Source organism: Homo sapiens, chromosome 7, assembly GCF_000001405.40.
Source record: "Homo sapiens chromosome 7, GRCh38.p14 Primary Assembly".
Classification (NCBI taxonomy): Eukaryota; Metazoa; Chordata; class Mammalia; order Primates; family Hominidae; genus Homo; species Homo sapiens.
In genome coordinates this window covers 91,435,401-91,459,409 of record NC_000007.14, presented here as the reverse complement: position 1 = coordinate 91,459,409, position 24,009 = coordinate 91,435,401, and the positions used below count along the sequence as shown (strand labels likewise).

The 24,009-nt window shown below is 41.4% G+C and overlaps 1 long non-coding RNA gene across 10 annotated transcripts in view, besides 1 other annotated feature; it reads right to left on the bottom strand.

Moving 5' to 3' along the window:
- Positions 1 to 24,009, bottom strand: part of LINC02932 (long intergenic non-protein coding RNA 2932) — a 204,101-nt gene that overhangs the window by 56,016 nt on the left and 124,076 nt on the right. For 8 of the 10 annotated variants that reach the window (NR_183372.1, NR_183368.1, NR_183370.1 and 5 more), the window contains exon 1: positions 3,377 to 3,817. The exons of the other annotated variants lie outside the window; for them this stretch is intronic. This is a non-coding gene — a long non-coding RNA (long intergenic non-protein coding RNA 2932). Of the gene's footprint in view, positions 1 to 3,376; positions 3,818 to 24,009 lie in introns of those variants that run through there. 10 annotated transcript variants of the gene reach the window in all.
- Positions 2,754 to 3,953: an enhancer, noted in NCBI's record as "BRD4-independent group 4 enhancer chr7:91084772-91085971 (GRCh37/hg19 assembly coordinates)". NCBI's record gives its function as "activates an origin of replication core promoter dependent on BRD2, P300/CBP, MED14 and CDK7 cofactors, and independent of BRD4, by STARR-seq in HCT116 cells {active_cell/tissue: HCT116}" and the evidence as "EXISTENCE:reporter gene assay evidence [ECO:0000049][PMID:35650434]".

Below are 24,009 nucleotides of genomic sequence, written 5' to 3'. Positions count from 1 at the left end.
AGAATCTAGGAGACGTCCACTTGCTACACATTGTTACTAACACTGAGAATTGTCAGTCTTTTTAATTTTAGCTATTATAATGGGTAGGAACTGGTATGATTTCTGGTTGTAATTTACACTTAGAGGAATGGCTAACAATATTGAGCCACATTTTGTATACTTATTGGAATTCTGAAAGAGATGATGTAAAGTTGGTGTTATTGATAGAAATTGTATTATTAAAATACCAATGTTTGAAAATAAATTAGAAGGTTTTAAATTCTGAATTTTAATATATGCTTATAATTTTAATTATGAATTTAATTTCTTGATAGATATAGGGCTATTTACATTTTTTATTTTTTGAGTCAGATTGGGTGAGATGTATTTTTCAAGGTATTTCACTATTTTATGTTGGTGATATTTTCCTATTAGTTTTCATTAGCATCTGTAGTATACTTCTCTTTCATTTCTGATATTGAAAATCTATGTTCCTTCTCTCTCTCGGGTACAGTCTGTTTTTTTATTTCCTTATTTTTGCCCTTGTCATTATTATGTCCTTTTTCTTATTTACATTGCTATCCTTTTTCTAGTTTTTAAAAGTTGAAATAGATTTTTAAAACTTTATTTTTTAGAATAAGCACAAAAGAAATGAATTTATCAGCACTGCTTTAAATATCTCACAGATTTTGATATTTTGTGTTTTCATTATCTTTCACTTTTATTTTCTAATTTCCCTTTTCATTACTTCTTTAACCCATGGGTTACTGAAAAGTGTGTAATTTTATTTCCATTTTTGTGACAACTTATTTATGGTTATTAACGTAATTTCTATCTAGTCAGAGAACATGCTTTGCTGAAATGTATTGAGATTTATTTTATGGCCCAGTATATCTTGGTGAATATTTCATGTGCACTAGAAATTAATATATTTTTTCAGTTATTGGATATAGTGTTCTATAAAAGTTAATTAGGTAAATTTGCTTAATAGTTTGTTCAGGTCTTTCATGTCTTAATTTTTTTGCCTACTTGTCTCTTCAATTACCAAGAGATTTGTGTTAAAATCTCTAATTATGGTTGCAAATGTGCTTATTTCTCTCCCTTGATTCTGTCTGTTTTTGTTTTATAAATTTTGAAGCTCTCATTCAGTGGAAGAATATTTAGGGGCATGGGAAGTCATATCATTATAAAATGCCCTTCTTTATCTTTTATAATACCCTAATATCTTTTCTCTTAAAGTCTTAAATTACTATTTCATATGAATTTCCTTATGATGACTATTTGCATAATACACATTTTTACCATTGTTTTACTTTAAAATTTTTATATAGCTGTATGCATTTCTTATAGGCTGCATCTTGTTTGGTCTTTCTGTTTTTATCCAGCCCAATAATCTCTTCCTTTTAATTGAATGGTTCAGTCCATTTACATTTAATGTAATTTTTATGTGGTTGGGTTTAAGTCTACCCTTTTGTTGTTGGTTTTCCATTTGTCTCTTGGGTTTTTTTTAGTCTTCCATGGTTCATTTCTTGCCTTCTTTTGGGTTAATCAAATATTTTTAGTGCCCCATCTTCTATTTGTGTCTTGGCTAAACATCTTTTTATTATTCTGTTTTTACATAGTTGCTCTAGGACTAACAAAGTATATTCTTAACTTATAAAAGCACATTTATAGTCAATAATAGAACATTTTATACTTCCTAGTTCACATCTGAAACTTTCTACTTCTTACTTCACAAGTTATAATATTGTAAAATAATATTACAAGTAACATACTGTTACTGTTGTAACAGTACATAACTCCATGTACCTGCTGTGTTAGTTTTCTATTGCTGTCATAATAATTTACCATAAATTTAGAGGCTAAAACAATACAAATGTATTATCTTACAGTTCTGTAAGCCAGAATTCTGACATAGATCTCACTAGGTTAAAAACAAAGTGTTGGCAGCACTGTGTTCCTTTCTGGAGACTCCAGGGGAGAATTCATTTCCTTCTCATTCAGGTTGTTGGCAGAATTCAGTTACTTGAGATTTTGGGATCAAGACTTTCATTTTCTTGCTGGCTGTAAACCGAGGATCATTCTTAGTTTCTAGAGGCCACTACATTTCTTGGCTTGTAGCCACCTTCATTCATATTAAAAGCCAGCAACCACTGGTGAGTTAAGTTCTTTTCACAACACATTTCTGACCCATTCTTCTGCTTTACTCTTTCACTTATAAGAGCTCATATGATTAGATTGAGCCCATCCAGGATAACCTTCCTCTTTCAAAGTCAGCTGATTCACAGTCTTCCATCTGCAACCTGAATTCCCCTTTGTCATGAAATGTAACATATTCACAGGTCCCAGAGATTAGAATGTGGACATCCTTGTGGGATCATATTCTGCTTATCACCCTCCCCTCCAAATTCTAAATACTTATGGTATTATTGTTATTCCTTTTACTTTTTTTCTTTTTTTCTTTTTTTTTTTTTTTTGAGATGAAGTCTTGCTCTGTTGCCAGGCTGGAGTGCAGTGGTGCTGAGAGGTGAAGCTGGCTGGGCTTCTGGGTCGGGTGGGGACTTGGAGAAATTTTCTGTCTAGCTAAAGGATTGTAAACACACCAATCCACACTCTGTGTCTAGCTAAAGGTTTGTAAATGCACCAATCAGCACTCTGTAAAAACGCACCAATCAGAGCTCTGTGTCTAGCTAAAGGGTTGTAAACGCCCCAATCAGCACTCTGTAAAAACAGACCAATCAGCACTCTGTAGAATGGACCAATCAGCAGGACATGGGTAGGGCCAAATAAGGGAATAAAAGCTGGCCACCCGAGCCAGCAGCAGCAACCCACTCGGGTTCCCTTCCATGCTGTGGAAGGTTTGTTCTTTCACTCTTCACAATAAATATTGCTGCTGCTCACTCTTTGGGTCTGCACTACCTTTATGAACTGTAACACTCACTGCAAAGTTCTGCGGCTTCACTCCTGGAGTCAAGCGAGACCACGAACCCACTGGAAGGAAGAAACTCTGGACACATCTGAACATCTGAAGGAACAAACTCTGGACACACCATCTTTAAGAACTGTAACGGCCGGGCACGGTGGCTCACGCCTGTAATCCCAGCACTTTGGGAGGCCAAGGCAGGCAGATCATGAGGTCAGGAGATCAAGACCATCCTGGTTAACACGGTGAAACCCCGTCTCTACTACAAAAAGAAAATACAAAAAATTAGCCGGGCATGATGGTGGGTGCCTGTAGTCCCAGCTACTCGGGAGGCTGAGGCAGGAGAATGGCGTGAACCCGGGAGTTGGAGCTTGCAGTGAGCTGAGACTGCGCCGCTGCACTCTGGCCTAGGCAAAAGAGCGAGACTCTGTCTCAAACAAACAAACAAACAAACAAAAGAACTGTAACACTCACTGCGAGGGTCCGCGGCTTCATTCTTGAAGTCAGTGAGACCAAGAACCCACTGGAAGGAACCAATTCCAGACATATTTTGGTGACCCAGATGGGACTGTCGCCTATCACCAAGTGGTGAGTACCATCAGACCCCTTTTGCTTGCTATTCTGTCTTATTTTTCCTTAGAATTTGGGGACTAAATACCAGGCACCTATTGGCCAGTTAAAAGTGACTAGCATGGATGCCAGACTAAAGACACGGGTGTCAGGCTTTCTGAGAAAAGGCTCTCTAACAACTCCTGACTCTTCAGAGTTGAGAGCGTTGGTTTGTCTGGAACCAGCTTCCGCTTTTCCTGTACTTCTGGGCTGAGCCAAGGATCGACAGACAGGAAAGCCATTCAGCTCCAGGGTCCCAACAACAAATTGGTTGACCCTGCAGCCATAAGCGGAACTCTCAAAGTCACGTTGCCCAAGCGAGACTTGACCGTCTATCCTGTCTATCCTGACCCTTTCCTCCTGGGTCCTAATGCCTGTCAGACAAACTTCCTCTTGCCTCTCTTCTCCGAGGCTAGTCTCGTTTCTAAAAACCACTCCCTGTCTCTGGTGCTTTTCTAGTTTCTTCTATAAGAATGATTTCTAGTATAAACTTCAGGACTCTATTCCCTTCTTTAGGCACCCGGGCTCACCAATTAGAAAGACATAATTTTTGCCCAAAGCCCCATTGTAGGGGGCACTATCTGGAATTTTATGATCCCTCCTCAGACAAGCAGGCCTAACAAAAGCTATTCCTGAAGCTAGGATATGGGGAGCCTCAGAAATTGTTTCCTTCCTATTCATATAAGTGAGGACAAAAAGCATCACTCTTCCAACTCTGGAGATCCCTTCCCTCCCTCAGGGTATGGCCCTTCACTTCATTTTTGGGGCACAACATCTTTATGGGACATGAGTAAAGTCCCATTACTAACAGGAGAATGCTTAGGACTCTAGCAGGTTTTTGAGAATGCATCAGTAAGGGCCACTAAATGCGATTTTTCTTGGTCCTCTTTGTGGTCTAGGAGGACAGGTAAGAGTGCAAGTTTTTGAGAATGTGTTGGTAAGGTCCACTAAATCCGATTTTTCTCAGTCCTCTTTGTGGTCTAGGAGGACAGGCAAAGGTGCAGGTTTTCGAGAATGCATCGGTAAGGGCCACTAAATCTGACATTCCTTGGTCCTCCCTCGTGGTCTAGGAGGAAAACTAGTGTTTCTGCTGCTGCATTGGTGAGCGCAACTATTCTGATCAGCAGGGTCCAGAGACCATTGCAGGTTCTTGGGCAAGAGGTGTTTCTGCTGCTGCATCAGTGAGTGCAACCATTCTGATCAGCAGGGTCCAGGGACCGTTGCAGGTTCTTGGGCAGGGTGAGAAACAAACAAACCAAAACCATGGGCGGTTTTGTCTTTCAGATGGGAAACACTCAGTCATCAACAGGCTCACCCTTGAAATGCATCCTAAGCCATTGGGACCAATTTGACCCACAAACCCTGAAAAAGAGGCAGCTCATTTTTTTCTGCACCATGGCCTGGCTCCAATATTCTCTCTCTGATGGGGAAAAATGGCCACCTGAGGGAAGTATAAATTACAATACTATCCTGCAGTTTGACGTTTTCTGTAAGAGGGAAGGCAAATGGAGTGAAATACCTTATGTTCAAGCTTTCTTTTCATTGAAGGAGAATACATCACTATGCAAAGTTTGCAATTTATATCCCACAGGAGGAACTCTCAGCTTACCCCCATATCCTAGCCTCCCTATAGCTCCCCTTCCTATTAATGATAAGCCTCCTCTAATCTCCCTCACCCAGAAGGAAATAAGCAAATAAATATTCAAAGGACCACAAAACCCCCCGGGCTATTTGTTATGTCCCCTTCAAGCTGTAGGGGGAGGGTAATTTGGCCCAACCTGGGCACATGTCCCTTTCTCCCTCTCTGATTTAAAGCAGATCAAGGCAGACCTGGGTAAGTTTTCAGATGATCCTGATAGGTACATAGATGTCTACAGGGTCTAGAGCAAACCTTCGATCTCACTTGGAGAGATGTCATGCTATTGTTCGATCAAACACTGGCCTTTAATGAAAAGAATGTGGCTTTAGCTGCAGCCCGAGAGTTTGGAGATACCTGGTATCTTAGACAAGTAAATGATAGAATGACAGCCAAATAAAGAGACAAATTCCCTACTGGTCAGCCAGCCATCCCCAGTATGGATCCCCACTGGGACCTCGATTCGGATCATGGGGACTGCAGTTGTAAACATCTGTTGACCTGTGTTCTAGAAGGACTAAGGAGAATTAGGAAAAAGCCCATGAATTATTCAATGATATCTACCATAACTCAGGGAAAGGAAGAAAATCCTTCTGCCTTCCTTGAGCGGCTATGGGAGGCCTTAAGAAAATATACTCCCCTGTCACCTGAGTCACTCGAGAGTCAGTTGATTCTAAAAAATAGGTTTATTGCCCAATTAGCTGCAGATATCAGGAGAAAGCTCCAAAAGTGAGCCCTGGGCCCTGAACAAAATCTGGAGGCATTATTAAACCTGGCAACCTTGGTGTTCTATAATAGGGACCAAGAGGAACATGCCCAAAAGGAAAAGCGAGATCAGAGAAAAGCCTTAGTTATGGCCCTCAGACAAACAAACCTTGGTGGTTCAAAGAGGACAGAAAATGGAGCAGGTCAATCACCCAGTAGGGCTTGTTATCAGTGTGGCTTACAAGGACACTTTAAAAAAGGTTGTCCAATGAGAAACAAGCTGCCCCCTCGTCCATATCCGCTATGCTGAGGCAATCATTGGAAGGCACACTGCCCCAGAGTGCAATGGTTCTCTGGGCCAGAAGCCCCCAACCAGATGATCCAACAACAGGACTGAGGGTGCCCAGGGCAAGTGCCAGCTCATGTCATCACCCTCACTGAGCCCCAGGTATGTTTAACCATTGAGGGCCAGGAAATTGACTTCCTGCTGGACACTGGCATGGCCTTCTCAGTGTTAATCTCCTGTCCCAGACGACTGTCCTCAAGGTCCATTACCATCCAAGGAATCCTGGAACAGCCTGTAACCAGGTATTTCTCCCACCTCCTCAGTTGTAATTGGGAGACTGCTTTTTTCACATGCCTTTCTTGTTATGCCTGAAAGTCCCACAACCTTATCAAGGAGGGATATATTAGCCAGAGCTGGAGCTATTATCTACATGAATATGGGGAACAAGTTACCCATTTGTTGTCCCCTACTTGAGGAGGGAATCAACCCTGAAGTCTGGACATTGGAAGGACAATTTGGAAGGGCAAAAAATGCCCACCCAGTCCAAACCAGGCTAAAAGACCCCACCACTTTTCCTTATCAAAGGCAATATCCCTTAAGGCCTGGAGCTCATAAAGGATTACAGGATATTGTTAAACATTTAAAAGCTCAAGGCTTAGTAAGGAAATGCAGCAGTCCCTGCAACACCACAATTCTAGGGTACAAAAACCAAAACGTCAGTGGAGAATAGTGCAAGATCTTAGACTCATCAATGAGACAGTAATTCCTCTATATCTAGTTGTACCCAACCCCTATACCTTGCTCTCTCAAATACCAGAGGAAGCAGAATGGTTCACTGTTCTGTACCTCAAGGATGCCTTCTTCTGTATTCCCCTGCACTCTGACTCCCAGTTTCTCTTTGCCTTTGATGATCCCACAGACCACACATCCCAACTTACGTGGACAGTCTTGCCCCAAGGGTTTAGGGATAGCCCTCATCTGTTTGATCAGGCACTGGCCCAAGATCTAGGTCACTTCTCAAGTCCAGACATCCTGGCCCTTCAGTATGTGGATGATTTACTTTTGGCTACCAGTTCAGAAGCCTCATGCCAGCAGGCTACTCTAGATTTCTTGAACTTTCTAGCCAATCAAGGTTACAAGGCGTCTAGGTCGAAGGCCCAGCTTTGCCTACAGTAGGTCAAATATCTAGGCCTAATCTTAGCCAGAGGAACCAGAGCCCTCAGCAAGGAATGAATATAGCCTATACTGGCTTATCCTCTCCCTAAGACATTAAAACAGTTATGGGGGTTCCTTGGAATCACCGGCTTTTGCCAACTATGGATCCCCAGATACAGCAAGATGGCCAGACCATGCTATACTCTAATCAAGGAGATCCAGAGGGCAAATACTCATCTAGTAGAATGAGAACCAGGGGCAGAAACAGCCTTCAAAACCTTAAAGCAGGCCCTAGTACAAGCTCCAGCTTTAAGCCTTCCCACAGGACAAAACTTTTCTTTATACGTCAGAGAGAGAGCAGGGATAGCTCTCGGAGTCCTTACTCAGACTTGTGGGACAACCCCACAACCAGTAGCATACCTAAGTAAGGAAATTGATGTAGTAGCAAAAGGCTGGCCCCACTGTTTAAGGGTAGTTGTGGTGGTGGCTGTCTTAGTGTCAGAGGCTATCAAAATAATACAAGGAAGGGATCTCACTGTCTGGACTACTCATGATGTAAATGCCATACTAGGTGCCAAAGGAAGTTTATGGCTATCAGACAACTGCCTACTTAGATACCAGGCACTACTTCTTGAGGGACCGGTGCTTCAAATATGTACGTGCATGGCCCTCAACCCTGCCATTTTTCTCCCAGAGGATGGAGAACCAATCAAGCATGACTGCCAACAAATTATAGTCCAGACTTATGCTGCCTGAGATGATCTCTTAGAAGTCCCCTTAGCTAATCCTGACCTTAACCTATATACTGATGGAAGTTCATTTGTGGAGAATGGGATACAAAGGACAGGTTATGCCATAGTTAGTGATGTAACTGTACTTGAAAGTAAGCCTCTTCCCCCAGGGACGAGCGCCCAGTTAGCAGAACTAGTGGCACTTACCTGAGCCTTAGAACTGGGAAGGGGAAAAAGAATAAATGTGTATACAAATAGCAAGTATGCTTATCTAATCCTACATGCCCATGCTGCAATATGGAAAGAAAGGGAGTTCCTAACCTCTGGGGGAACCCCCATTAAATACCACAAGGAAATTATGGAGTTATTGCACACAGTGCAAAAACCCAAGGAGATGGCAGTCTTACACTGCCAAAGCCATCAGAAAGATGAAGGAGGAAACCGTCGGGCAGATGCTGAGGCCAAAATTCCTGCCAGGCAGAACCTCCCATTAGAAATAACTATGGAAAGACCGTTGATATGGAACAACCCCCTCCAAGAGATTAAGCCCCAGTATTTCCCGACTGAAACAGAATGGGGACTTTCACGGGGGCATACTTTTCTCCCCTCGGGGTGGTTAACAACAGAGGAAGGAAAGATACTTATACCTGAAGCCAGCCAGTGGAAAATACTTAAAACCCTCCACCAAACTTTTCATATGGGTATTGAAAACACTCATCAAATAGCCAAATCCCTATTTACAGGGCCAAATCTCCTCCGGACCATCCGACGGGTAATCAAAGCCTGTGAGGTGTGCCAAAAGAATAATCCCTTGGTCCATTGTAAGGCGCCCGGGGAACAAAGAATAGGTCACTATCCTGGAGGGGACTGGCAGTTAGAATTCACCCATATGCCTAAGTCAAAGGGATTTCAATACTTGTTGGTCTGTGTTGACACCTTGGATAGAAACTTTCCCCTGCAAGACAGAGTAGTCTCATGAAGTGATTAAAGTCCTAATTCATGAAATAATTCCTAGATTTGGGCTTCCCCAAAGCTTACAGAGTGACAATATCCAGCTTTTAAAGCCATGATAACTCAGGGAATTTTCAGGGCACTAGGAATACAATATCACCTTCACTGTGCCTGGAGGCCGCAATCCTCAGGGAAGGTCAAGAAGGCACATGAAACACTCAAGAGGCACTTAAAGAAACTAACACAAGAAACTCGTCTCCTATGGCCTACTCTTTTGCCCATGGCCTTGTTGAGAATCTGAAATTCTCCTCACAAAATGGGGCTCAGTCCATATGAAATGCTGTATGGACAACCTTTTTCTCACAAATGACCTCCTACTTGATCAGGAAATGGCCAACTTGGTCAAAGATATAACTTCTTTGGCAAAATATCAACAAAACCTTAAAAACCTACCTGAAGGATGTCACAGAGAAAACGGAGCAGAGTTGTTTCAACCAGGAGATCTAGTGTTGGTCAAATCTCTCCCCTCTACCTCCCCATCTATGGACTCTGTGGGAAGAACCATACTCAGTAATCCTCTCTACCCCCACTGCAGTTAAGGTGGCAGGAGTGGAATCTTGGATTCACCATATCTGAGTTAAATTTTGGACACCCCTTGATGAACCTGTGGGACTGTCAGCTCAGGAGTCCCAAGATCAGCCAGACCAGCCTCGATATACCTGTGAACCATTGGAGGACTTGCATCTTCCTATTTCAAAAGGAAACATCCCAGACTAAAAAGGCTCCTACCACCAATCCTGAAGAAAAACCCCTTCCTTCTTAAAAAAGATAAGTGAAAACCTACATAATCTTTAACACCTCTCCTTGCCCCTTTAATGGAATCCTTTTACTATTTCATCATATTGTTAAGCAGCATACTAACCATACTCTTTGTGATAAGACTATATACTGTAGCTCCTGCTGGGATGAAAATCCTAATCACATCAACCTTCTTTCTCTCTTCCTCCCTTCTGACAGCAATTTACTCCTACCTTTAACTTGGACTGGATAAGATGATCTCATCTTCCAGAGCACCCTCTTTATCTTCCTATTTGCTCTTTGCCTATCTATCCCTCCTGCTTCCTTGGATACCTCATACAATCACCCCTCCCCTTCCACTAGCTCCTAACTACCTCTACAATAATCTCAACTTAACCCACTCTCTGTTAAACCAGTCCAGTCCTTCCCTGGCAAATGACTGTTGGCTTTGTATCTCTCTATCAACTTCTGCTTACGTTGCCACTCCCATTCCCGCAAAAAACTGGGTCTTTACCAACTTAACTTACCACCCTCATTGTGAAGGAAAAGACGCTTTCTGATTTCTAAATATGCAATCATTAGCCCACTTCCCCATCTCTGATAGGACGAAGAATACCCTAACAGGATGTGCAATCCAACTTTTACGTTCTTACATTTCCCACCTCACCTATTACACAAGCAATGAAAAGCCCATACATGACCCTGTAACTACAAATACCATCTTAACTTTCCAAGCCCCTTTATGCATCCAATGCAACCTGTTATAAGGCCTGCCCCTGGGGTACCTACTAACCCATTAGTGTAATTACACCATACAACTTCAAGCCCCAGCTGATCATAGTAACTTCTGAGTCACCCAAACAGCTCCATTCAGATGGCTTGTCTGCTTCTCAGGGCACCCAGAAATCATCGCCTCCTCCCTGCTTAACAAACAGTCCAGGTTTTGTAATGGCAAACATACTCCCTGCATGACCATTCACCCCTGGACTCCCTCCAGCAGCGCCCCCACCACTAGTGAATGCCTTCTCATCCCCTATTTCAATCACTCTCTGGAATGGTTCCTGGTAGATACAAAACGATTTTTTTCTCCAATGGGAAAACAGAACACAGGGAGCCACTCAGTTTGCTCCCAACACCCCTTTCCAGCTGCTCACTGGAGCTACCTTGGCAAGTACTCTAGGAGTATGGGAAAATGAAAACAACAAACTCACACACCTTTTTAACATACACAACCAGTTCTGTCTACCCAGCCAAGGTATATTCTTCTTATGTGGAACGTCGACCTATATCTGCCTCCCCACTAACTGGACAGGCACCTGCACCTTAGTCTTTCTAAGTCCCAACATTAACATTGCCCCAGGAAATCAGACCCTATCAGTACCCCTCAAAGCTCAAGTCCATCAGCACAGAGCCATATGACTGATACCCCTACTTATAGGGTTAGGAATGGCTACTGCTACAGGAACCAGAATAGCCAATTTATCTCCTTCATTATCCTACTACCACACACTCTCAAAGGATTTCTCAGACAGTTTGCATGAAATAACGAAATCTATCCTTACTCTACAATCCCAAATAAACCCTTTGGCAGCAGTGACTCTCCAAAACTGCCGAGGCCTAGACCCCCTCACTGCTGAGAAAGGAGGACTCTGCACCTTCTTAGGAGAAGAGTATTGTTTTTACACTAACCAGTCAGGGATAGTATGAGATGCCGCCTGGCATTTACAGGAAAAGGCTTCTGAAATCAGACAACACCTTTCAAACTCTTATACCAACCTCTGGAGTTGGGCAACATGGCTTCTCCCCTTTCTAGGTCTCTTGGCAGCCATCTTGCTATTACTCGCCTTCGGGCTCTGTATTTTTAACCTCCTTGTCAAATTTGTTTCCTCTAGAATCAAGGCCATGAAGCTACAGATGGTCTTACAAATGGAACCCCAAATGAGCTCAACTAACAACTTCTACTGAGGACCCCTGGACCGACCCACTGGCCCTTTCACTGGTCTAAAGAGTTCCCCTCTGGAGGACACTACAACTGCAGGGCCCCTTCTTTGCCCCTCTCTGGCAGGAAGTAGCTAGAGCGGTCATCGTCCAATTCCCAAAAGCAGTTGGTGAGTCCTGTTTAGAGGGGAGATTGAACCAATTCCAGACACAGTGCAATCTCAGCTCACTGCAACCTCTGCCTCCTGGGTTCAAGTGACTCCCCTCCCTCAGCCTCCCAAGTAGCTGGGATTACAGGCATGAGCCACCATGCCTAGCTAATTTTTTGTATTTTAGTAGAGACAGGGTTTCACCATGTTGGCCAAGATGGTCTTGATCTCCTGACCTCGTGATCTGAACACCTTGGCCTCCCAAAGTGCTGGGATTACAGGCATGAGCCACTGCACCTAGCCTCCTTTTACTTTTATATCTGTTATATACTCCACCTGACAGTGTTACTAATTTTGCTTTTAAACATGTTGTCTTTTACAAAGGATCACATATTGTATGATTTCACTTATATGAGATGGTTAGAATAGGCAACTTCATAGACACAAAGTAGATGAGTGGTTTTCAGGTGCTGAGGGAGGTGGGAAATGGGAAGTGACTGCTAATGAGTACAGTTTCTTTTTGAGGTGATGAAATGTTCTAGGATTAGATAGTGGTGATGATTTCACAACATTGTGAATATATGAAAAACCACTGGATTGCACATTTTAAAGTGGGGAAATGTATGGCATGTGAATTATATCTAAAGCCCAACTCCAAAGTTTCGGGTGATTCTGATGATAATAATCTACAGGATTTACTTTAGAAATACTAAACAGGTAAATGTTTACCTAGTTACTCCCTTGCAATTTTTGCTAAAGCTCGGATAAGAGCAATGACAGTGATAGGGCTTCCTTGACATATTATCCCTAAACCTTAGCAGGCATGGTTGGGAGCAGCTTTTATACCAGTCACATGTTGAATAAGCTCTCTTTGTGAAGAATCAGCCCAGCTACCCCCTTCATGGTACTCCATCACATACTAGACTGGAGGCTATAGTGAGCAATCCTGAAAATAGGCAGTAAAAATGCATATTTGCCAAAATGGATATTAAACTATAGATACAAGCCCAGTTTAAAGAGAATAATTAAGTTAATATTTGAAGATAACTTTATATCTCTGAATCATTCCTTGATCTATCTTTATTAAAGTCAGTTTCTTCCTACTCAATAATCCCATAGTATTTTGTACATAACTCTATCATCATATTAATATAGTTCTTTCATGTTTGTATGTACTAGTAGGATGTAAAGTGGTATAGGACAGGGACCGTGTCATTTTTCTTTGACATCTAGTGTCTAAAATAGTATCTCCCACAAATACTTTAGTATTTCTTGGGTGACTAAATTTAAACTATATTGAAACACCATATGCTTATTCCTACATGATAACTGATAAGTTATTAGGATAATTTAAAACTAAGCAAAGAGCAATATAGGAATAGAAGGATGATTTCTTAATCTAGTAGACTAAAAACTAAAAAAAAATCTATACTAACCTGCACTTAATGTGAAATATTGAATGCATTTCCTCTGAGGTCAAGAATGAGACAAAGAGGTACACTATCAGCAGGTCTCTCCAGCACTTACTGGAGGTACCACCAGTGCGATAGGGCAAGACAAAAGAAAGAATAACCTATGCAAAATTACATTTAGCTATACATGACAGATTAGTGTACTTTACACACAATATATTTTTTCCAAAAATATGTTATAGATAGTATATATTATACCAAAAGAACTCTACACTAAACAGAGACAGTAGGATATAAAGGATTCAGAGAAAGTAATATTTGAGCCAAACTTTGCAGGTACACGAAATGAGCAAAGGATATTCTGGGTAGAAGTCACAGCTTGGAGGTGTGAAAAAACATGGAGTATGAGGGACAATCTTATCCCATAGGATCACTGAGGTAAGGTAGTAGGACATGAGGCCAGAAGGGAAGGTCAAGGCAGACTACAAAATAAATTATGAAACTTGCTAACGGGTTTAGACTGGATTCTGTGGACAAAGGAGGGCCATCAAAATATTTCAGAAAGATTATTCTGCTGACAATGTAGGTGGTGAAATAGATTATGAAAGGGATTGGAGTTGGGACACTAGTTTGGAAGCTAGTGGTGAGGATTTGACATAAAGACAATATGTTCAAAAGGAAAGGATGATATATAATGAGCTTTAGGAAGTAGAAACAACTGAATTGATTGTCTCATTGGATACAGAGAGTGAGGGAGAGGAAGAATCAGTGTTTCTTTCCTGGTTACCTGGGTGGTTGGTAACCTCAACAAAGCTACAGGGAATGGGACAGGGTGAAGGGACTGGGTTCAGTTCTGGACATACTGAATCTAAAAAAGGCCACCAGAAGGGATGTCAACAGAAAAGCTGAAAATGCTGGGCTCACTCATGATTATACCTTAAAATCAGTTCTGGTGAAGTCTCTGACCCAGAAGATTATTGTTAAAATAAATCCAGGATTGATGCTAAAAATTTGAGGAATTTATAGCAAGCCATAGCTCTACGGGGGTTCTCAGGCCCCACACTTTTCCTCATTTAATAGTCAGGGTTTCTAACCCATATGTGGCATGGCTATCTGAGAGTTCCATGTGCCACCACTACCCCCCAGAACCAACCCACTAAATCACTCTTCTCTAGACTATGGTCCTGAGTTATTTTGACCTCCGTTCTTTGGCCTTGAATTACTTTGACTTGACTCAGCTATCCCGGGTTCTGACTTTAACCTGGATATGGAAAAACCCTGTTGAAGTCTAATTCTGCTATCAACACAACCAAATAAAAATCCAAATACAATTCTAGGAGGCTTAGAAGAGTTTGATGGATGACTTCTGACAGCATTCTTAAATGAGAGGCATGAGGTTTAAACAATGCGTCACAAAGCAAAATACCTTAACATTCATTTTCACCCACTCATCACTCCAAAGCCTCTACATCAACATGCCAACTGCCCGAAAGTCTCTTCCCTCTCTCCCTCCCACATAATTTCTCTCTCAATACCCACTGATGCAGTCTACTCCCTGCTACTGGTCTCTGTTTCTACCAAGATGATGTATATACCAAGATAAACACACACACACACACACACACACACACACACACACACACACACAGTGAATTATTACTGATACTCAAATCTCTTCCCCAGTGGAAGGATGGGGGAAAGTAGATGTATATTAGGTATGTGTGTGTTTAACTGAAGTGAATTTAGTTGAACTGAATGCAGATCAGATAACTAGCTTATGATAGGTGAAGAAAGTATGAATCTTGTACAGGCTGGGAATGGGTAGTGAAATTTGGCAGGGGATGATGGTCATGCCAAACAGCATAGTTGAAATGTTAGGCTTTATTGGTAGAAAGTTTCACAAGGCACATCAAAAAAAAAAAAAAAAAAAAAAACAACTCTCAAGCTAGGTACCCTTGAACTAGTGCCCCATCTTTTTCTTTCTCCCAAGGAGTTGTGGAAAGAAATCTGCGAATTTCATCTTGCTTGGTGGAGTACTCTCAGCCACAGCTGGCTCATGGTCCTCCTGTGGTGACCAAGAATGTGTGAGGATGAGTGTTCAGTAGGATGGCCAGAGAACTCCCTACAGGGTGAGAAGTCATAGGCTTTTCTTTCCCAAGCACTCTTGCCTTGCAAGTCTTCCCCTGAGCAAACATAAATACCAGAATTCAAAGAAGGTGCACATATTCCTTTTAGAAAAGGAGGGCCTCACTGAGCAACATGACCTGGGAACATGAGATTTTCTCTCTCCCTCCACCATGGAAAGGCATGGAGGCAGTTTACAGACTTAGACCTTCAGAAGGAAGAATTATTCCTTTTTACCAAATCTCTTTTACTCTCCTCAATGTCCTCTCTTGTCATCTAATAGATCCTTCTTCTAGACCCTCTCCCCGACTTCCCAATCCAGTACCCAAACTCACCATTCAGGACTCTGCTCCTCACTGGGGTTTTCTACCCTGTGTTATTTCTGATGTCATGAACTCAAGCTTCTCAGGCTTTGCAGACCCCAAAGGGGAAAAGCATGCTCTGGATTTATGAGTTGAAGAGATAGAAAATGCCTTGATTCATTGCCCCATCAGCAAGCCTTGTGGCCAATTTCCTCTGGCCCTTAAAGAAGCAAGTGTATTCATCAAAGCAAGCATTCATTACACGCTCATCACACACACCCCCTCCTGACCCACCCTGAAGACCTCATAGTCTAGTCTCATATGGAGAAAGCATATTTCATGGGAAATAATAACACTGACATTATCAGGTTATGAAGCACTTGTTCCCCTTCATTATGAGAGTCACAACTTGAGTATGAATGAGTCCATTTAGTATGAAAGGCTCCAACTCCAACAGATGGCTCTAATTCCAGTTAGATTTTTCTCTCATGAAGGAGATAGACCAGCATATGTGTGTTGGATCTCAGTCCATTTTGCATCAATGGCTTCAATTATTAACTCATAATTAACTTTGCAAATATAATTCTATATAATCCTTACAATGACCCAGCAAGGTCTACATTATTAAGCATTTTATGGATGAATAAACAGAGGCTCAAAGAGTTTGAAAATTTCCCAGGATCTCATAGATGGCCAACAATGGAACTGGTATTTGAGCTCATATCTATCTGTCTTTAAAGCCCAGGATCTTATCACTATATTGTGCTACCTCTTATCATGAGATGGGCAGAGACGGAACCAAAGGAAATATCACGAGATTCTGGACTTTTGAACCAAATACCCATGTGCTTGTTAACTTAGGGAAAAAAACTAAAACAAGATCTTCCTTCCTTCCTTTCTTTCTTTCTTTTTCTCTCTTTCTTTCTTCTTTCTCTTTTCTTTCTTTTTTCTCTTTCTTTCCTTTCTTCCTCTCTCCTTCCTTCCTTCATTTCTTTCTTTTTTCTTTTTTCTCTTTCTTTCCTTTCTTCCTCTCTCCTTTCTTTCTTTTCTTTCTTTCTTCTTTCTTTTCTTTCTTCCTCTCTCCTTCCTTCCTTCCCTTCTTTCTTTCTTTCCTTCCTTTCTTTCTTTTTTTCTCTTTCTTTCCTTTCTTCCTCTCTCCTTCCTTCCTTCTTTCCTTCTATTCTTCCATTATGAAACCCCAATAGCAATCACATAAGAATCAGAAATCATAGAACAGGATTTCTCTCTCTCTTTCTTTCTTTCTTTCTTTCTTTCTTTCTTTCTTTCTTTCTTTCTTTCTTTCTTCTTTCTTTCCTTCCTTTCTTCTTTCTTTCTTTCTCTCTTCTTTCTTTCTTTTTTCTCCTTCCTTCTTTCCTTCCTTCCTTCCCTCCTTCCTTCGTTCCTGCATTAGTCCATTCTCATGCTGCTGTAAAGAAGTGCCCAAGACTGGGTAATTTATAAAGGAAAGAGGTAATCAACTCACAGTTCTGCATTGCTGGGGAGGCCTCAGGAAACTTTCAATCATGGCAGAAGGCAAAGGAGAAGCAGGCACCTTCTTCACAAGGTGGCAGGATGGAGTCAGTGCAAGTGGATGAAATGCCAGCTGCTTATAAAACCATCAGATCTTGTAAGACTCACTCACTATCAAGAGGATAGCATGGAAGAACCTGCCCCCATGATCCAATTGCCTTCACCTAGTCCTGCCCTTGACATGTGGGGATTATGGGGATTATGGGGATTCCAATTCAAGATGAGATTCTGGGTAGGGATGCAGCCAGACCATATCATTCCACCCCTGCCCCTCCCAAATCTCATGTTCTCACATTTCAAAACACAATCATGCCTTTCCAACAGTCCCTCAAAGTCTTAGCTCATTCCACCATTAACCCAAAAGTCCAAGTCCAAAGTCCTACCTGAGACAAGGCAAGTCCCTTCTGACTATGAGCCTGTAAAATCGAAAGCAAGTTAGTTACTTCCTAGATACAATGTGGGTAAAGGTATTGGGTAAATACGTCCATTCCAAATGGGAGAAATTGGCCAAAAAGGGGGCTACAGGCCCCATGCAAGTCCAAAATCCATGAGGGAAGTCATTAAACCTTAAAGTTCCAAAATGATCTCCTTTGACTCCATGTCTCACATCCAGGGCACGCTGATGCAAGAGGTAGACTCCCATGGCCTTGGGAAGCTCCTCTCCTGTGGCTTTGCAGGGTGCACCTCCCCTCCTAGCTGCTTTCATGGGCTGGCATTGAGTGTCTGCAGGTTTTCCATGCACATGGTGCAAGCTATCGGTGGATCTACCATTCTGGGGTCCAGAGGATGGTGACCCTCTTCTCACAGCTCCACTAGGTAGTGCCCCAGAGGGGACTCTGTGTGGGGGCTCCAACCCCATGTTTCCTTACTGCACTGCCCTAGCAGAGGTTCTCCATGAGGGCTATGCCCCTGCAGCAAACTCCTGCCTGGACATCCAGGCATTTCCATACATCCTCTGAAATCTAGGCAGAGGTTCCCAAACCTCAATTCTTGACTTCTGTGAACCCACAGGCTGAATACCATGTGGAAGTCACAAAAGCTTGGGGCTTACACCCTCTGAAGCAATGGCTTGAGCTGTACCATGGCCCCTTTTAGCCACAGCTAAAGCTGAAGTAGCTGGGACACAGGGCACCATGTCCTGAGGCTGCACATAGTGGAGGGGCCCTGGACCTGGCCCACTAAATCATTTTTCCCTCCCAAACCTCTAGGCCTGTGATGGGAGGGGCTGCCATGAAGGTCTCTGACATGGCCCGGAGATATTTTTCCCATTGCCTTGGTGATTAACATTCTTTTCCTTGTTACTTATGCAAATTTCTGCACAGGCTTGAATTTCTCCCCAAGAAAATAGGTTTCTCTTTTCTGTCACACTGTCAGGCTGCAAATTTTCCAAACTTTTATGCTCTGCTTCCTCTTAATGCTTTGCTGCTTAGAAATTTCTTTTATCAGATGCCCTAAATAAACTCTCTCAAGTTCAAAGTTCCACAGATCTCTACAGCAGGGGCAAAATGCCACTAGTGTCTTTGCTAAAACATAGCAAGAGTCATCTTTGCTCCAGTTCCCAACAGTTTTCTCATCTCTATCTGAGACCACCTCAGTCTAGACTTCATTGTCCATATCACTCTCAGCATTTTGGTCAAAGCCATTCAACAAGTCTCTAGGACATTCCAAACTTTTCCACATTTTCCTGTCTTCTTCTGAGCTCTCCAAACTGTTTCAACTTCTGCCTGTTACCCAGTTCCAAAGTCATTTCCACATTTTTGGGTATCCTTAGCGCAGCACCTCACTCCTGGTACCAACTTACTGTATTAGTCCATTCTCACACTGCTATGAAGAAATGCCTGAGACTGGGTAATTTATAAAGGATAGAGGTTTAATTGACCACAGTTCTGCATTGCTGGGGAGGCCTCAGGAAACTTACAATCATGGCAGAAGGCAAAGGAGAAGTAGGCACCTTCTTCACAGGGTGGCAGGATGGAGTGAGTGCAAGCAGGGAAAATGCCAGACACTTATAAAATCATCAGATCTTGTGAGACTCACTATCACGAGGACAGCATGGGGGAATCCTTCCCCATGAGCCAATTACCTCCACCTAGTCCTGCCCTTGACATGTGCGGATTATGGGGATTACAACTCAAGATGAAATTTTGGGTGGGGACTCAGCCAAACCATGTCCCTCCCTCCCTCCCTCCTTCCCTCCCTCCCTTCCTTCCCTTTTTCTTTCTTTTTCTCTCTTCCTTTCTTCCTTCTTTTCCTTTTTCTTTTTCTCTCTTTCTTCCTTTCTTCTTTCTCTTACTTTGCTTCTTTCTTTCTTTCTCTTTTCTTCTTTTTTTCTCCCTCTCTCCCAGCTGCCCACCCTGTCTTCCTTCCTTTCTTCCTTTTATTATGAAACCCCAATAGTAATCACATGAGAATCAGAAATCATAGAGTGTAAAACTACCTCAAACCAATGTCTGCATTAAAAAACTATGAAAATACTCTATTGTTTTATGACCCCATTTAGAGTGAACATTATATTTATAGCTTTTCCCCTGAATACACATTAAAGTAATATTAAACTTTTGGTAGAAATTATACCATACATCTGTGCTGACCGCTTGTTTCCTGCAAACAAATCTTTGTCTACTACTTTCAGCTTTCAAATTTTTCTCCAAAGAAGTAAGTTAGGTTAAAAGGCCCAGAAAGAAACATAAAACAGATGGACCTCAATTTTTGTAGGAGGTGACAGCCATATTGAATTTAAAGGAAAACTAGCCAGAGAGAATCTTAATTGAAAAACTCATGAAGCAAATACAGGGAGGGCCCTGATGTGGGATGAAATATCAAGATTAGACGTCTGGCTTACAATTGCAGGTTGTCCTTGAAGTTGGGAGTTCTTTAAGATGGAGTAAGAGATTGGTCATCTGCCCTTCCTATGACAAAAATATTTCTGGCTATTGAATAGTACTGGTCTTTTGTGAGTATGTATTTCTGTCACTTCCCATCCTGTTCAAGTGAAGAGCCTGTGGATTTTATCTAGAGTAAGGCACCCAAGGTCCATGGCTAGGCATTTGTTGTGGCTGTGGTCTTGGGGCAAATGTGAAGCAAATTTGGAGGGCTGGAATGGACTGCTTTCAGGGAGCAAGAGACCACTAAAGTTTGAAGGATCAGAAAGAGGCTTGGCCAAAGTGGGCGCTTCTGGTTCAGAAGGCCTAACTTGGGGGCAATTCTTGGCAGCAGAGGGACGCTTTTCCATGATGTCTTATGATAGCCAGGAAGAAGAGTGCATGTGTGTGTTGTGGGGTGTGATGTGGGGTGTCTGAGCCTGCAATTAACACAGGATGATACCAGCAGCAGACTCTTTCACCAATCTAGCCATTGAACCCTTTTCTTTCCTCTTTATTCAATCTGTCCCTCTCAGCTGCATCATTCTCATCAATATTTAAATATCCTTTAGTCTCTCTTGTTTAATAAAGAAAGAAGCACCATTTAATGTTTTTTCCCTTTCATCCATTAGCCTCTCTTTTCTCTTCACAATAAAATTTATCAAACTCTCTATTCACTTTCTCCATTTCCTCACATTTCACTAACTCCTCTAAAGACCCATTTCACTTTGGACTTCATTCCTTCACTCTAACAAAATGGCTCTTTCTAGAGTTACATGTGACCATGATGTTTCTAAATCCAGCAAAGAATTTCCAGTTCTTGTCTATTTGATGTTCGGAGTGTTCACCCCTGCCCCTTCTCCATTGATCACTCCCTCCATCTTGAAAGACTCTTTTCTCTTGGTTTCCCTCTCCCTTTCATTTCCCATTCTTCATGTTTTCCTTCTACCTCTCTAGCTGCTCTTATTCAGTCTCTGTCAGTTCTCCTCCTCCCATCACTAAATGTCAGAGTTTGTTAGTGCTACGTTCCAGGCCCCCTCTTCTCACTTTGTACTCTCTTGCCAGGCCATCTCATCCATGGCCATAACCTGAATTATCAATGTTGATGATAGACATCCCCTCTCAACTCTAAACCTACATATTCTGCAACACCTTGCCTTGGCTATAAGGACCTCAAACTAAATATGTGTAAGCCTGAATTCATAATCTTTTCTTTCATGTGTAGTTTTCTCCAGTGCGGTCACTCTCAGTAAATGCTATTACCATATACTCAGTTGCTGAAGAGATATATGAAAGTCATTCTTGACCTTTCCTCCTCCCTTGCACTACATGCCCAATTCATTAATAATTAGTATAGATTTTTTATGTCTTAAATATGTCTAAATTCTTTCCATTTTATTCTCTTTTATCTACACAGCCAACATTCTAATCCAAAATACCATGATTTCTCACCAGGGATCACTGCAATAGCATTGATCCAACCTCACCTTTACAAGTCTCCACATCCAATCTATCTGTCTTTTCAAAAAAAAAATCTGACCACATTCCTGACTTTCCACTTGCATGCATAGTTAAAGCCATTCCAAGGCTCTTCCTTTACTTTTGGGTTAAAGAGCAGTATCCTTAACACATTCTGCAAAGCAATGCATAATCAGGCTTCTACTTATTTTGTCCCTCTTCCACATTTACTCTTCCCTCTGTACTTTATTCTTCCTCACATTGCATTCTTCTAATTTCTAGAACCTTCCATGTTTTATCTTCACAAGACCTTGACACATGTTTTCCCACTGTCATTCTTGGAATATTCTCCAATAACCCTTCACTTGTCCACAGCAGACCCTTAGAGAAGGGTCTTGAAATTCATTCTTTGAAAAATGGAAATGCTAACCCACTCTGTGACCTAAGCCCACTGTGCTGAGTGAACCCCAAGTAAACATTCATGTCTTTAACAGCCAAGCCACTTTCCTTTTTAAGTTTTTTTTTTTAATTTGACTTGAGTTACCAAATCAAACTTAAAAAATAAAGCAACATAAAATAACAAAACTTCCTAGGAGTTGTATTAATTTCTCCATATTTAATGGCCTATTGCAAATTAACCAAAATTTAAACTGTATCATTCTTCACTAAATAACTAGGAAGTTTCAAACAAGAACTAGTTGCTCACAGACATAAAACAATTTTATATTTTATAGTGACATTTACAATAAATGGTATTGTTATTGCTTTTCCTTAGCATACACTCAAATGATACTTAACAGAAACAAGTAAAACAAAACCCTCAGTCTTTAACCCTCTTGATATGAGGCAAGTTGAAATAATAGGTCTTGGTCCTTACGAAAGGTTTGAAGCAGGCAAGAAGAGTGAGTTAATGAGATCCTGTAATCTGATCCCCAGCAAACATGGACAGCTGTTCTTAGAGTACTATGAACCCTACACCTTTACAGATCACGGACTGGCAGAACCCCACCCGACCCTGGTGGGCTCGGGCAAGTCCCAACACAGTGGAAATGGCTTTGCTGGTGTAAATAACAGGGATCTGTTATCATGAGATTACGTGTCTGTAAAATGCCTATTTATCTTATTACATTGCCTTTAGGAGGAGGGAGGAGGGGGTGAGTGTTAGTATATGAGATGATGGAGTTAGGAGATGAGAAAAGCATCTCTGACCTAAGGTGAAACCTGCTTTAACTCAGTGGGTTTGTTCGACAGCCAGATGGATTCCATCATGCTGAACTTTCAGTGTTGAGCGCCATTTAGTATTTACCAGCAAGTGTCTTGCAAAAACAATGCAAGGATGGGTTTGTACCTGGAATTACAACATCATAGTTTTCATCTGATAGCTTCAATCTGGTAATTTTTTTTCTTTTCTTTTCTTTTTTCTCTTCTCTTCTCTCTCTCTCTTTCTCTCTTTCTTTCTTTCTTCTTTCTTTTTCCAAATATTTGAGTGACTACTACATGCCTAGTAGTATGCTAGACATGGGCTATAGATTGGTGAATAAAAAAGACACTGCACCTACCCTGACGGAGAATTGAATCTAATGAGGCAGACAATAAAATAAACAAATAAACATGTAATTATAAAGTGTGATAAATGCTACAATGTAGAAGAATAAGGTACCATGAGAGAATAACAAGAAGAACCTACTTCAGAGAAAGAGAAATGACTGTTAATCTCATGTGTGAAGAGTAAAATGGAGCCAGCTATGCAAAGAAGGGAATGAGGTGGGGACAGCACACTATACTGATGAATTTAATTTTTTTTAAAGAGACAGAGTCTTGCTATGTTGCCCAGACTGGACTTGAATCCTGGGCTTAAGGGATCCTCCCACCTCAGTCTCCCAAGTACCTGGGACTACAGGCATGCACCACTGCACCTGACTTGAATTTTATTTTTATTTTGTTTTTTTAATATAAAATTTAAATATGAAGTAAATATGAATTTTAATATTAAGTATTTTATATAAAATTTAAATAATTCAGTAATAAAATACTCATTTAATCAAAACCAAATAACCCTAAAATATATGAAGTAAAAAATGACCACTTTTTGCCTGTCACCCTGCAAAATATTGCATTATCTGGGAAGAAGTACGGTTAACAGATTGGTGTGTTTGAATAATTCTCAACTGATCATTTCCCAGCTGTGAAAGAATACAAACTGTAAGGATCTTCCTTTGGAAAGAATAAGAAAATTGACACCAAAGTAACAAAGGCAGCAGATGACTAATGTCAGAACATCTTTGCAATATCTTAGTATGCTTCCAGTTGCATAATAATTTGCATCTGTGAATAATCAGTGGAAATAAAGGTCTTCGCCATCTGCCTTGGAATAATCACATTCCCAGATCTTTTAGAAATTTACTTGAAATAAAGTTTATAACTTATCTTTCTAACAATCAATAGAGCTGGTAAAAATTGTT